Raw genomic sequence first — 14,903 nt, 5'->3', positions numbered from 1 at the left:
AGCCTTCCTTTGGTAGTTCACGTTTGAAACACTCTTTTTGGAGGACCTGCAAGTGGATATTTGGAGCACTTTGGGGCCTTCGTTCGAAATGGCTATATCTTCACATAAAATCTAGACAGAAGCCTTCTCAGAAACTTCTCTGTGATGATTGCATGCAACTCACAGAGTTGAACATTCCTTTTGATGGAGCAGTTTTGAAACTCTCTTTTGCTAGCATCTGCAAATGGATAGGTGGAACTCTGTGAAGACTTCTTTGGAAACGGGAATATCCTCACGTAAAAAGTAAACACAAGCATTCTCAGAAACTCCTTTGTGAGGCTTGTGTTCAACTCCCAGAGTATAACATTGCTTTTCATAGAGCAGTTTTGAAACATTCTTTTAGTAGAGCCTCCAAGTGGACATTTGGAGCGCTTTCAGGCCTGCGGTGGAAAAGGAAATATCTTCACATAAAAACTAGAGAGAAGCATTGTCAGAATCTTCTTGGTGATGATTGCATTCAACTCACGGAGCTGAGGATTCCCTTTAATGCAGCAGTTTGCAAACACTCTTTCGGTGGAATCTGCAAGCGGATATGTGGACCTCTTTGACCATTTCGATGGAAAAGGGATAATCTTCCCGTAAAAGCTAAACGGAAGCATGCTCAGGAACTTCCTTGTGATGTTTGCATTCAACTCACAGAGTTGTACTTTCCTTCTGATAGAGCAGCTTTGAAACCCCCTCTTTATAGCATCTGCAAGGGGACATTTGGAGGGCTTCGAGGCCTGGGGTGGAAAAGGAAATATCTTCTCATCAAAGCTACATGGAAGCATTCTCAGAAGCTGCTTTGTGATGATTGCATTCAAGCCACCGAGTTGAACATTCCTTTTGATGGAGCCGTTTGGAAACACACTTCTGGTAGAATCTGAAAGGGGAGATTTGGACCGCTTTGGGGCCTATATCAGTGGAGGATATAACTGCACATAAAAGCGAAACAGGAGCATTCCCAGGAAACACTTTGTGACGATTGAGTTCAACTCACAGAGCTGAACATTCCTTTGGATGAAGCAGTTTCCAAACACACTTTGTGTAGAATCTGCAAGTGGAGATTTGGACCGCTCTGAGGATTTCGTTGGATAAGGGAGAAAACTCACCTACGTAAACAGAAGCATTCTCAGAACCTTCTTCGTGATGCTTGCATTCAACTCACAGTGTTGAACCTTTCTCTGACAGTTCAGGTTTGAAACACTCCTTCTGCAGAATCTGCAAGTGGAGATTTGGACCTCTTTGAGGCCTATCGTAGTAAAGGAAAGAACTTCATCTAAAAACAAGACAGAAGCATTCTCAGAAAATTCTTTGCGATGATTGAGTTTAACTCACAGAGCTGAGCATATCTTTTGATGGCGCATTTTCAAGACACACCTTTTGTAGAATATGCAAGTGGATTTTGGGACTTCTCTGAGAATTTCGTTGGAAACGGGATAAACCTCACATAACTGAAGAGGAACATTCTCAGAAGTTCTTGGTGACGTTGGCATTCAACTGACAGAGTTGAACCTTCCCTTCTGAGTTCAGGTTGAAACGCTCTTTTCGTAGTATCTGCAAGTGGAGGTTTGCAACGCTTTGAGGCCTACGGTAGTAAAGGAAACAGCTTCATGTAAAAACTGGACAGAAGCCTTCTCAGAAAATACTTTGGGATGATTGAGTTCAACTCACAGAGCTGAACCTTCCTTTGGGTGGAGCAGTTTTGAAACACACTTTTTGTAGACTCTGCAAGTGGATATTTGGACCTCTCTGAGGATTTCGTTGGAAACGGGATAACGTCACCTAACTAAACAGAAGCTTCCGCAGAAACATCCTTCTGACGTTGGCCTTCAAAGTCCCGAGTTGAGCCTTCCTTTGGTAGTTCACGTTTGAAACACTCTTTTTGGAGGACCTGCAAGTGGATATTTGGAGCACTTTGTGGCCTTCGTTCGAAACGGCTATATCTTCACATAAAATCTAGACAGAAGCCTTCTCAGAAACTTCTCTGTGATGATTGCACGCAACTCACAGAGTTGAACATTCCTTTTGATAGAGCAGTTTTGAAACTCTCTAGTTTTGCTGGCATCTGCAAATGGATAGGTGGAACTCTGTGAAGAATTCTTTGGAGACGGGAATATCCTCACGTAAAAACTAAACAGAAGCATTCTCAGAAACTCCTTTGTGAGACTTGTGTTCAACTCCCAGAGTATAACATTGCTCTTCATAGAGCAGTTTTGAAACATTCTTTTCGTAGAGCCTCCAAGTGGACATTTGGAGCGCTTTCAGGCCTTCGGTGGAAAAGGAAATATCTTCACATAAAAACTAGAGAGAAGCATTGTCAGAAACTTCTTGGTGATGATTGCATTCAACTCACGGAGCTGAGGATTCCTTTTGATGCAGCAGTTTGGAAACACTCTTTCGGTGGAATCTGCAAGCGGATATGTGGACCTCTTTGAACATTTCTATGGAAAAGGGATAATCTTCCCGTAAAAGCTAAACGGAAGCATGCTCAGGAACTTCCTTGTGATGTTTGCATTCAACTCACAGCGTTCTACTTTCCTTTTGATAGAGCAGCTTTGAAACCCCCTCTTTCTAGCATCTGCAAGGGGACATTTGGAGGGCTTCGAGGCCTGGGGTGGAAAAGGAAATATCTTCTCATCAAAGCTACATGGAAGCATTCTCAGAAGCTGCTTTGGGATGATGCATTCAAGTCACCGAGTTGAACATTCCCTTTGATGGAGCCGTTTGGAAACACACTTTTGGTAGGATCTGAAAGGGGAGATTTGGACCGCTTTGAGGCCTATGGCAGTAGAGGATATAACTGCACATAAAAGCGACACAGGAGCATTCCCAGGAAACACTTTGTGACGCTTGAGTTCAACTCACAGAGCTGAACATTCCTTTGGATGGAGCAGTTTCCAAACACACTTTGTGTAGAATCTGCAAGTGGAGATTTGGACCGCTCTGAGGATTTCGTTGGATATGGCAGAAAACTCACCTACGTAAACAGAAGCATTCTCAGAACCTTCTTCGTGATGCTTGCATTCAACTCACAGTGTTGAACCTTTCTCTGACAGTTCAGGTTTGAAACACTCCTTCTGCAGAATCTGCAAGTGGAGATTTGGACCTCTTTGAGGCCTATCGTAGTAAAGGAAAGAACTTCATCTAAAAACAAGACAGAAGCATTCTCAGAAAATTCTTTGCGATGATTGAGTTTAACTCACAGAGCTGAGCATATCTTTTGATGGCGCATTTTCAAGACACACCTTTTGTAGAATATGCAAGTGGATTTTGGGACTTCTCTGAGAATTTCGTTGGAATCGGGATAAACCTCACATAACTGAAGAGGAACATTCTCAGAACTTCTTGGTGATGTTGGCATTCAACTGACAGAGTTGAACCTTCCCTTGTGAGTTCAGGTTGAAACGCTCTTTTCGTAGTATCTGCAAGTGGAGGTTTGGAACGCTTTGAGGCCTACGGTAGTAAAGGAAACAGCTTCATGTAAAAACTGGACAGAAGCATTCTCAGAAAATACTTTGGGATGATTGACTTCAACTCACAGAGCTGAACATTCCTTTGGATGGAGCAGTTTCCAAACACACTTTGTGTAGAATCTGCAAGTGGAGATTTGGACCGCTCTGAGGATTTCGTTGGATACGGGAGAAAACTCACCTACGTAAACAGAAGCATTCTCAGAACCTTCTTCGTGATGCTTGCATTCAACTCACAGTGTTGAATCTTTCTCTGACAGTTCTGGTTTGAAACACTCCTTCTGCAGAATCTGCAAGTGGAGATTTGGACCTCTTTGTTGCCTATCGTAGTAAACGAAAGAACTTCATCTAAAAACAAGACAGAAGCATTCTCAGAAAATTATTTGTGATGATTGAGTTTAACACACAGACCTGAGCATATCTTTTGATGGCGCATTTTCCAAAAACACCTTTTGTAGAATATGCAAGTGGATTTTGGGACTTCTCTGAGAATTTCGTTGGAATCGGGATAAACCTCACATAACTGAAGAGGAACATTCTCAGAACTTCTTGGTGATGTTGGCATTCAACTGACAGAGTTGAACCTTCCCTTGTGAGTTCAGGTTGAAACGCTCTTTTCGTAGTATCTGCAAGTGGAGGTTTGGAACGCTTTGAGGCCTACGGTAGTAAAGGAAACAGCTTCATGTAAAAACTGGACAGAAGCCTTCTCAGAAAATACTTTGGGATGATTGAGTTCAACTCACAGAGCTGAACATTCCTTTGGGTGGAGCAGTTTTGAAACACACTTTTTGTAGACTCTGCAGGTGGATATTTGGACCTCTCTGAGGATTTCGTTGGAAACGGTATAACGTCACATAACTAAACAGAAGCTTTCGCAGAAACATCCTTCTGACGTTGGCTTTCAAAGTCCCGAGTTGAGCCTTCCTTTGGTAGTTCACGTTTGAAACACTCTTTTTGGAGGACCTGCAAGTGGATATTTGGAGCACTTTGTGGCCTTCGTTCGAAACGACTATATCTTCACATAAAATCTAGACAGAAGCCTTCTCACAAACTCCTCTGTGATGATTGCACGCAACTCACAGAGTTGAACATTCCTTTTGATAGAGCAGTTTTGAAACTCTCTAGTTTTGCTGGCATCTGCAAATGGATAGGTGGAACTCTGTGAAGATTTCTTTGGAAACGGGAATATCCTCACGTAAAAAGTAAACAGAAGCATTCTCAGAAACTCCTTTGTGAGGCTTGTGTTCAACTCCCAGAGTATAACATTGCTTTTCATAGAGCAGTTTTGAAACATTCTTTTCGTAGAGCCTCCAAGTGGACATTTGGAGCGCTTTCAGGCCTGTGTTGGAAAAGGAAATATCTTCACATAAAAACTAGAGAGAAGCATTGTCAGAAACCTCTTGGTGATGATTGCATTCAACTCACGGAGCTGAGGATTCCTTTTGATGCAGCAGTTTGGAAACACTCTTTCGGTGGAATCTGCAAGCGGATATGTGGACCTCTTTGAACATTTCGATGGAAAAGGGATAATCTTCCCATAAAAGCTAAACGAAAGCATGCTCAGGAACTTCCTTGTGATGTTTGCATTCAACTCACAGAGTTGTACTTTCCTTTTGATAGAGCAGCTTTGAAACCCTCTCTTTCTAGCATCTGCAAGGGGACATTTGGAGGGCTTTGAGGCCTGGGGTGGAAAAGGAAATATCTTGTCATCAAAGCTACATGGAAGCATTCTCAGAAGCTGCTTTGTGATGATTGCATTCAAGTCACCGAGTTGAACATTCCCTTTGATGGAGCCGTTTGGAAACACACTTTTGGTAGGATCTGAAAGGGGAGATTTGGACCGCATTGAGGCCTATGGCAGTAGAGGATATAACTGCACATAAAAACGAGACAGGAGCATTCCCAGGAAACACTTTGTGACGATTGAGTACAACTCACAGAGCTGAACATTCCTTTGGATGGAGCAGTTTCCAAACACACTTTGTGTAGAATCTGCAAGTGGAGATTTGGACCGCTCTGAGGATTTCGTTGGATTTGGGAGAAAAGTCACCTACGTAAACAGAAGCATTCTCAGAACCTTCTTCGTGAAGCTTGCATTCAACTCACAGTGTTGAACCTTTCTCTGACAGTTTAGGTTTGAAACACTCCTGCAGAATCTGCAAGTGGAGATTTGGACCTCTTTGAGGCCTATCGTAGTAAAGGAAAGAACTTCATCTAAAAACAAGACAGAAGCATTCTCAGAAAATTCTTTGCGATGATTGAGTTTAACTCACAGAGCTGAGCATATCTTTTGATGGCGCATTTTCAAAACACACCTTTTGTAGAATATGCAAGTGGATTTTGGGACTTCTCTGAGAATTTCGTGGANAACGGGATAAACCTCACATAACTGAAGAGGAACATTCTCAGAACTTCTTTGTGATGTTGGCATTCAACTGACAGAGTTGAACCTTCCCTTGTGAGTTCAGGTTGAAACGCTCTTTTCGTACTATCTGCAAGTGGAGATTTGGAACGCTTTGAGGCCTACGGTAGTAAAGGAAACAGCTTCAGGTAAAAACTGGACAGAAGCATTCTCAGAAAATACTTTGGGATGATTGACTTCAACTCACAGAGCTGAACATTCCTTTGGGTGGAGCAGTTTTGAAACACACTTTTTGTAGACTCTGCAGGTGGATATTTGGACCTCTCTGAGGATTTCGTTGGAAACGGGATAACGTCACCTAACTAAACAGAAGCTTTCGCAGAAACATCTTTCTGACGTTGGCATTCAAAGTCCAGAGTTGAGCCTTCCTTTGGTAGTTCACGTTTGAAACACTCTTTTTGGAGGACCTGCAAGTGGATATTTGGAGCACTTTGTGGCCTTCGTTCGAAACGGCTATATCTTCACATAAAATCTAGACAGAAGCCTTCTCAGAAACTTCTCTGTGATGATTGCATGCAACTCACAGAGTTGAACATTCCTTTTGATAGAGCAGTTTTGAAACTGTCTTTTGCTAGCATCTGCAAATGGATAGGTGGAACTCTGTGAAGACTTCTTTGGAAACGGGAATATCCACACGTAAAAAGTAAACAGAAGCATTCTCAGAAACTCCTTTGTGAGGCTTGTGTTCAACTCCCAGAGTATAACATTGCTTTTCATAGAGCAGTTTTGAAACATTCTGTTCGTAGAGCGTCCAGGTGGACATTTGGAACGCTTTCAGGCCTGTGTTGGAAAAGGAAATATCTTCACATAAAAACTAGAGAGAAGCATTGTCAGAAACCTCTTGGTGATGATTGCATTCAACTCACGGAGCTGAGGATTCCTTTTGATGCAGCAGTTTGGAAACACTCTTTCGGTGGAATCTGCAAGCGGATATGTGGACCTCTTTGAACATTTCGATGGAAAAGGGATAATCTTCCCGTAAAAGCTAAACGGAAGCATGCTCAGGAACTTGTTTGTGATGTTTGCATTCAACTCACAGAGTTGTACTTTCCTTTTGATAGAGCAGCTTTGAAACCCTCTCTTTCTAGCATCTGCAAGGGGACATTTGGAGGGCTTCGAGGCCTGGGGTGGAAAAGGAAATATCTTCTCATCAAAGCTACATGGAAGCATTCTCAGAAGCTGCTTTGTGATGATTGCATTCAAGTCACCGAGGTCAACATTCCCTTTGATGGAGCCGTTTGGAAACACACTTTTGGTAGAAACTGAAAGGGGAGATTTGGACCGTTTTGGGGCCTATTGCAGTAGAGGATATAACTGCACATAAAAACGAGACAGGAGCATTCCCAGGAAACACTTTGTGACGATTGAGTTCAATTCACAGAGCTGAACATTCCTTTGGATGGAGCAGTTTCCAAACACACTTTGTGTAGAATCTGCAAGTGGAGATTTGGACCGCTCTGAGGATTTCGTTGGATACGGGAGAAAACTCACCTATGTAAACAGAAGCATTCTCAGAACCTTCTTCGTGATGCTTGCATTCAACTCACAGTGTTGAACCTTTCTCTGATAGTTCAGGTTTGAAACACTCCTTCTGCAGAATCTGCAAGTGGAGATTTGGACCTCTTTGAGGCCTATCGTAGTAAACGAAAGAACTTCATCTAAAAACAAGACAGAAGCATTCTCAGAAAATTCTTTGTGATGATTGAGTTTAACTCACAGAGCTGAGCATATCTTTTGATGGATACGGGAGAAAACTCACCTATATAAACAGAAGCATTCTCAGAACCTTCTTCGTGATGCTTGCATTCAACTCACAGTGTTCAACCTTTCTCTGATAGTTCAGGTTTTAAACACTCCTTCTGCAGAATCTGCAAGTGGAGATTTGGACCTCTTTGAGGCCTATCGTAGTAAAGGATATAACCTCATCTAAAAACAAGACAGAAGCATTCTCAGAAAATTCGTTGTGATGATTGAGTTTAACACACAGAGCTGAGCATATCTTTTGATGGAGCATTTTGAAAACACACCTTTTGTAGAATATGCAAGTGGATTTTGGGACTTCTCTGAGAATTTCGTTGGAAACGGGATAAACCTCACATAACTGAAGAGGAACATTCTCAGAAGTTCTTGGTGACGTTGGCATTCAACTGACAGAGTTGAACCTTCCCTTGTGAGTTCAGGTTGAAACGCTCTTTTCGTACTATCTGCAAGTGGAGGTTTGGAACGCTTTGAAGCCTACGGTAGTAAAGGAAACAGCTTCATGTAAAAACTGGACAGAAGCCTTCTCAGAAAATACTTTGGGATGATTGAGTTCAACTCACAGAGCTGAACCTTCCTTTGGGTTGAGCAGTTTTGAAACACACTTTTTGTAGACTCTGCAGGTGGATATTTGGACCTCTCTGAGGATTTCGTTGGAAACGGGATAACGTCACCTAACTAAACAGAAGCCTCCGCAGAAACATCCTTCTGACGTTGGTCTTCAAAGTCCCGAGTTGAGCCTTCCTTTGGTAGTTCACGTTTGAAACACTCTTTTTGGAGGACCTGCAAGTGGATATTTGGAGCACTTTGTGGCCTTCGTTCGAAACGGCTATATCTTCACATACAATCTAGACAGAAGCCTTCTCAGAAACTTCTCTGTGATGATTGCACGCAACTCACAGAGTTGAACATTCCTTTTGATAGAGCAGTTTTGAAACTCTCTAGTTTTGCTGGCATCTGCAAATGGATAGGTGTAACTCTGTGAAGACTTCTTTGGAGACGGGAATATCCTCACGTAAAAAGTAAACAGAAGCATTCTCAGAAACTCCTTTGTGAGGCTTGTGTTCAACTCCCAGAGTATAACATTGCTTTTCATAGAGCAGTTTTGAAACATTCTTTTCGTAGAGCCTCCAAGTGGACATTTGGAGCGCTTTCAGGCCTGTGGTGGAAAAGGAAATATCTTCACATAAAAACTAGAGAGAAGCATTGTCAGAAACTTCTTGGTGATGATTGCATTCAACTCACGGAGCTGAGGATTCCTTTTGATGCAGCAGTTTGGAAACACTCTTTCGGTGAAATCTGCAAGCGGATATGTGGACCTCTTTGAACATTTCGATGGAAAAGGGATAATCTTCCCGTAAAAGCTAAACGGAAGCATGCTCAGGAACTTCCTTGTGATGTTTGCATTCAACTCACAGCGTTGTACTTTCCTTTTGATAGAGCAGCTTTGAAACCCCCTCTTTCTAGCATCTGCAAGGGGACATTTGGAGGGCTTCGAGGCCTGGGGTGGAAAAGGAAATATCTTCTCATCAAAGCTACATGGAAGTATTCTCAGAAGCTGCTTTGGAATGATTGCATTCAAGTCAGCGAGTTGAACATTCCCTTTGATGGAGCCGTTTGGAAACACACTTTTGGTAGGATCTGAAAGGGGAGATTTGGACTGCTTTGTGGCCTATGGCAGTAGAGGATATAACTGCACATAAAAACGAGACAGGAGCATTCTCAGGAAACGCTTTGTGACGATTGAGTTCAACTCACGGAGCTGAATATTCCTTTGGATGGAGCAGTTTCCAAACACACTTTGTGTAGAATCTGCAAGTGGAGATTTGGACCGCTCTGAGGATTTCGTTGGATACGGGAGAAAAGCCACATATGTAAACAGAAGCATTCTCAGAAACTTCTTTGTGATGCTTGCATTCATCTCACAGTGTTGAACCTTTCTCTCATAGTTCAGGTTTGAAACACTCCTTCTGCAGAATCTGCAAGTGGAGATTTGGACCTCTTTGAGGCCTATCGTAGTAAAGGAAAGAACTTCATCTAAAAACAAGACAGAAGCATTCTCAGAAAATTCTTTGTGATGATTGTGCTTAACTCACAGAGCGGAGCATATCTTTTGATGGCGCATTTTCAAAACACACCTTTTGTAGAATATGCAAGTGGATTTTGGGAATTCTCTGAGAATTTCGTTGGAAACCGGATAAACATCACATAACTGAAGAGGAACATTCTCAGAACTTCTTGGTGATGTTGGCATTCAACTGACAGAGTTGAACCTTCCCTTGTTAGTTCAGGTTGAAACGCTCTTTTCGTACTATCTCCAAGTGGAGATTTGGAACGCTTTGAGGCATACGGTAGTAAAGGAAACAGCTTCATGTAAAAACTGGACAGAAGCATTCTCAGAAAATACTTTGGGATGATTGAGTTCAACTCACAGAGCTGAACATTCCTTTGGGTGGAGGAGTTTTGAAACACACTTTTTGTAGACTCTGCAGGTGGATATTTGGACCTCTCTGAGGATTTCGTTGGAAACGGGATAACGTCACCTAACTAAACAGAAGCTTTCGCAGAAACATCTTTCTGACGTTGGCCTTCAAAGTCCAGAGTTGAGCCTTCCTTTGGTAGTTCACGTTTGAAACACTCTTTTTGGAGGACCTGCAAGTGGATATTTTGAGCACTTTGTGGCCTTCGTTCGAAACGACTGTATCTTCACATAAAATCTAGACAGAAGCCTTCTCAGAAACTTCTCTGTGATGATTGCATGCAACTCACAGAGTTGAACATTCCTTTTGATAGAGCAGTTTTGAAACTGTCTTTTGCTAGCATCTGCAAATGGATAGGTGGAACTCTGTGAAGACTTCTTTGGAAACGGGAATATCCTCACGTAAAAAGTAAACAGAAGCATTCTCAGAAACTCCTTTGTGGGGCTTGTGTTCACTCCCAGAGTATAACATTGCTTTTCATAGAGCAGTTTTGAAACATTCTTTTCGTAGAGCCCCCAAGTGGACATTTGGAGGGCTTTCAGGCCTGTGGTGGAAAAGGAAATATCTTCACATAAAAACTAGAGAGAAGCATTGTCAGAAACTTCTTGGTGATGATTGCATTCAACTCACGGAGTTGAGGATTCCTTTTGATACAGCAGTTTGGAAACACTCTTTCGGTGAAATCTGCAAGCGGATATGTGGACCTCTTTGAACATTTCGATGGAAAAGGGATAATCTTCCCATAAAAGCTAAACGGAAGCATGCTCAGGAACTTGTTTGTGATGTTTGCATTCAACTCACAGAGTTGTACTTTCCTTTTGATAGAGTAGCTTTGAAACCCTCTCTTTCTAGCATCTGCAAGGGGACATTTGGAGGGCTTCGAGGCCTGGGGTGGAAAAGGAAATATCTTCTCATCAAAGCTACATGGAAGCATTCTCAGAAACTGGTTTGTGATGATTGCATTCAAGTCACCGAGTTGAACATTCCCTTTGATGGAGCCGTTTGGAAACACACTTTTGGTAGAATCTGAAAGGGGAGATTTGGACCGCTTTGAGGCCTATGGCAGTAGAGATATAACTGCACATAAAAAGGAGACAGAGCATCCCAGGAAACACTTTGTGACGATGAGTTCAATTCACAGAGCTGAACATTCCTTTGGATGGAGCAGTTTCAAAACACACTTTTTGTAGAATCTGCAAGTGGAGATTTGGACCGCTCTGAGGATTTCATTGGATACGGGAGAAAACTCACCTACGTAAACAGAAGCATTCTCAGAACCTTCTTCGTGATGCTTGCATTCAACTCACAGTGTTGAACCTTTCTCTGATAGTTCAGGTTTGAAACACTCCTTCTGCAGAATCTGCAAGTGGAGATTTGGACCTCTTTGAGGCCTATCGTAGTAAAGGAAAGAACTTCATCTAAAAACAAGACAGAAGCATTCTCAGAAAATTCTTTGTGATGATTGAGTTTAACTCACAGAGCTGAGCATATCTTTTGATGGATACGGGAGAAAACTCACCTATATAAACAGAAGCATTCTCAGAACCTTCTTCGTGATGCTTGCATTCAACTCACAGTGTTCATCCTTTCTCTGATAGTTCAGGTTTTAAACACTCCTTCTGCAGAATCTGCAAGTGGAGATTTGGACCTCTTTGAGGCCTATCGTAGTAAAGGATATAACCTCATCTAAAAACAAGACAGAAGCATTCTCAGAAAATTCTTTGTGATGATTGAGTTTAACACACAGAGCTGAGCATATCTTTTGATGGAGCATTTTGAAAACACACTTTTTGTAGAATATCCAAGTGGATATTTGGACTTCTCTGAGAATTTCGTGGGAAACGGGATAAACCTCACATAACTGAAGAGAAACATTCTCAGAACTTCTTTGTGATGTTGGCATTCAACTGACAGAGTTGAACCTTCCCTTGTGAGTTCAGGTTTAATCGCTCTTTTCGTAGTATCTGCAAGTGGAGATTTGGAACCCTTTGAGGCCTACGGTAGTAAAGGAAACAGCTTCATGTAAAAACTGGACAGAAGCATTCTCAGAAAATACTTTGGGATGATTGAGTTTAACTCACAGAGCTGAACATTCCTTTTGGTGGAGCAGTTTTGAAACACACTTTTTGTAGACTCTGCAGGTGGATATTTGGACCTCTCTGACGATTTCGTTGGAAACGGGATAACGTCACCTAACTAAACAGAAGCTTTCGCAGAAAAATCTTTCTGACGTTTGCATTCAAAGTCCAGAGTTGAGCCTTCCTTTGGTAGTTCACGTTTGAAACACTCTTTTTGGAGGACCTGCAAGTGGATATTTGGAGCACTTTGTGGCCTTCGTTCGAAACGGCTGTATCTTCACATAAAATCTAGACAGAAGCCTTCTCAGAAACTTCTCTGTGATGATTGCATGCAACTCACAGAGTTGAACATTCCTTTTGATAGAGCAATTTTGAAACTCTCTTTTGCTAGCATCTGCAAATGGATAGGTGGAACTCTGTGAAGACTTCTTTGGAAACGGGAATATCCTCACGTAAAAAGTAAACAGAAGCATTCTCAGAAACTCCTTTGTGGGGCTTGTGTTCAACTCCCAGAGTATAACATTGCTTTTCATAGAGCAGTTTTGAAACATTCTTTCGTAGAGCATCCAGGTGGACATTTGGAATGCTTTCAGGCCTGTGTTGGAAAAGGAAATATCTTCACATAAAAACTAGAGAGAAGCATTGTCAGAAACCTCTTGGTGATGATTGCATTCAACTCACGGAGCTGAGGATTCCTTTTGATGCAGCTGTTTGGAAACACTCTTTCGGTGGAATCTGCAAGCGGATATGTGGACCTCTTTGAACATTTCGATGGAAAAGGGATAATCTTCCCGTAAAAGCTAAACGGAAGCATGCTCTGGAACTTCTTTGTGAAGTTTGCATTCAACTCACAGAGTTGTACTTTCCTTTTGATAGAGCAGCTTTGAAACCCTCTCTTTCTAGCATCTGCAAGGGGACATTTGGAGGGCTTCGAGGCCTGGGGTGGAAAAGGAAATATCTTCTCATCAAAGCTACATGGAAGCATTCTCAGAAACTGCTTTGTGATGATTGCATTCAAGTCACCGAGTTGAACATTCCCTTTGATGGAGCCGTTTGGAAACACACTTTTGGTAGAATCTGAAAGGGGAGATTTGGACCGCTTTGAGGCCTATGGCAGTAGAGGATATAACTGCACATAAAAAGGAGACAGGAGCATTCCCAGGAAACACTTTGTGACGATTGAGTTCAATTCACAGAGCTGAACATTCCTTTGGATGGAGCAGTTTCAAAACACACTTTTTGTAGAATCTGCAAGTGGAGATTTGGACCGCTCTGAGGATTTCATTGGATACGGGAGAAAACTCACCTATGTAAACAGAAGCATTCTCAGAACCTTCTTCGTGATGCTTGCATTCAACTCACAGTGTTGAACCTTTCTCTGATAGTTCAGGTTTGAAACACTCCTTCTGCAGAATCTGCAAGTGGAGATTTGGACCTCTTTGAGGCCTATCGTAGTAAAGGAAAGAACTTCATCTAAAAACAAGACAGAAGTATTCTCAGAAAATTCTTTGTGATGATTGAGTTTAACTCACAGAGCTGAGCATATCTTTTGATGGATACGGGAGAAAACTCACGTATGTAAACAGAAGCATTCTCAGAACCTTCTTCCTGATGCTTGCATTCAACTCACAGTGTTGAACCTTTCTCTGATAGTTCAGGTTTTAAACACTCCTTCTGCAGAATCTGCAAGTCGAGATTTGGACCTCTTTGAGGCCTATCGTAGTAAATGAAAGAACTTCATCTAAAAACAAGACAGAAGCATTCTCAGAAAATTCTTTGTGATGATTGGGTTTAACTCACAGAGCTGAGCATATCTTTTGATGGATACGGGAGAAAACACACCTATGTAAACAGAAGCATTCTCAGAACCTTCTTCGTGATGCTTGCATTCAACTCACAGTGTTGAACCTTTCTCTGATAGTTCAGGTTTTAAACACTCCTTCTGCAGAATCTGCAAGTGGAGATTTGGACCTCTTTGAGGCCTATCGTAGTAAAGGAAAGAACTTCATCTAAAAACAAGACAGAAGCATTCTCAGAAAATTCTTTGTGATGATTGAGTTTAACTCACACAGCTGAGCATATCTTTTGATGGATACGGGAGAAAACTCACCTATATAAACAGAAGCATTCTCAGAACCTTCTTCGTGATGCTTGCATTCAACTCACAGTGTTCAACCTTTCTCTGATAGTTCAGGTTTTAAACACTCCTTCTGCAGAATCTGCAAGTGGAGATTTGGACCTCTTTGAGGCCTATCGTAGTAAAGGATATAACCTCATCTAAAAACAAGACAGAAGCATTCTCAGAAAATTCTTTGTGATGATTGAGTTTAACACACAGAGCTGAGCATATCTTTTGATGGAGCATTTTCAAAACACACTTTTTGTAGAATATGCAAGTGGATATTTGGACTTCCCTGAGAATTTCGTGGGAAACGGGATAAACCTCACATAACTGAAGAGAAACATTCTCAGAACTTCTTTGTGATGTTGGCATTCAACTGATAGAGTTGAACCTTCCCTTGTGAGTTCAGGTTGAATCGCTCTTTTCGTAGTATCTGCAAGTGGAGATTTGGAACGCTTTGAGGCCTACGGTAGTAAGGAACAGCTCATGTAAACTGGACAGAGAATCTCAGAAATACTTTGGATGATGAGTTACTCACGACTGACATTCTTT

The sequence above is a fragment of the Homo sapiens genome, chromosome 1 (genome assembly GCF_000001405.40).
Source record: "Homo sapiens chromosome 1, GRCh38.p14 Primary Assembly".
Lineage (NCBI taxonomy): Eukaryota > Metazoa > Chordata > Mammalia > Primates > Hominidae > Homo > Homo sapiens.
The sequence above is the reverse complement of the archived record's forward strand: the minus strand, read 5'-3'. Positions refer to the sequence as shown.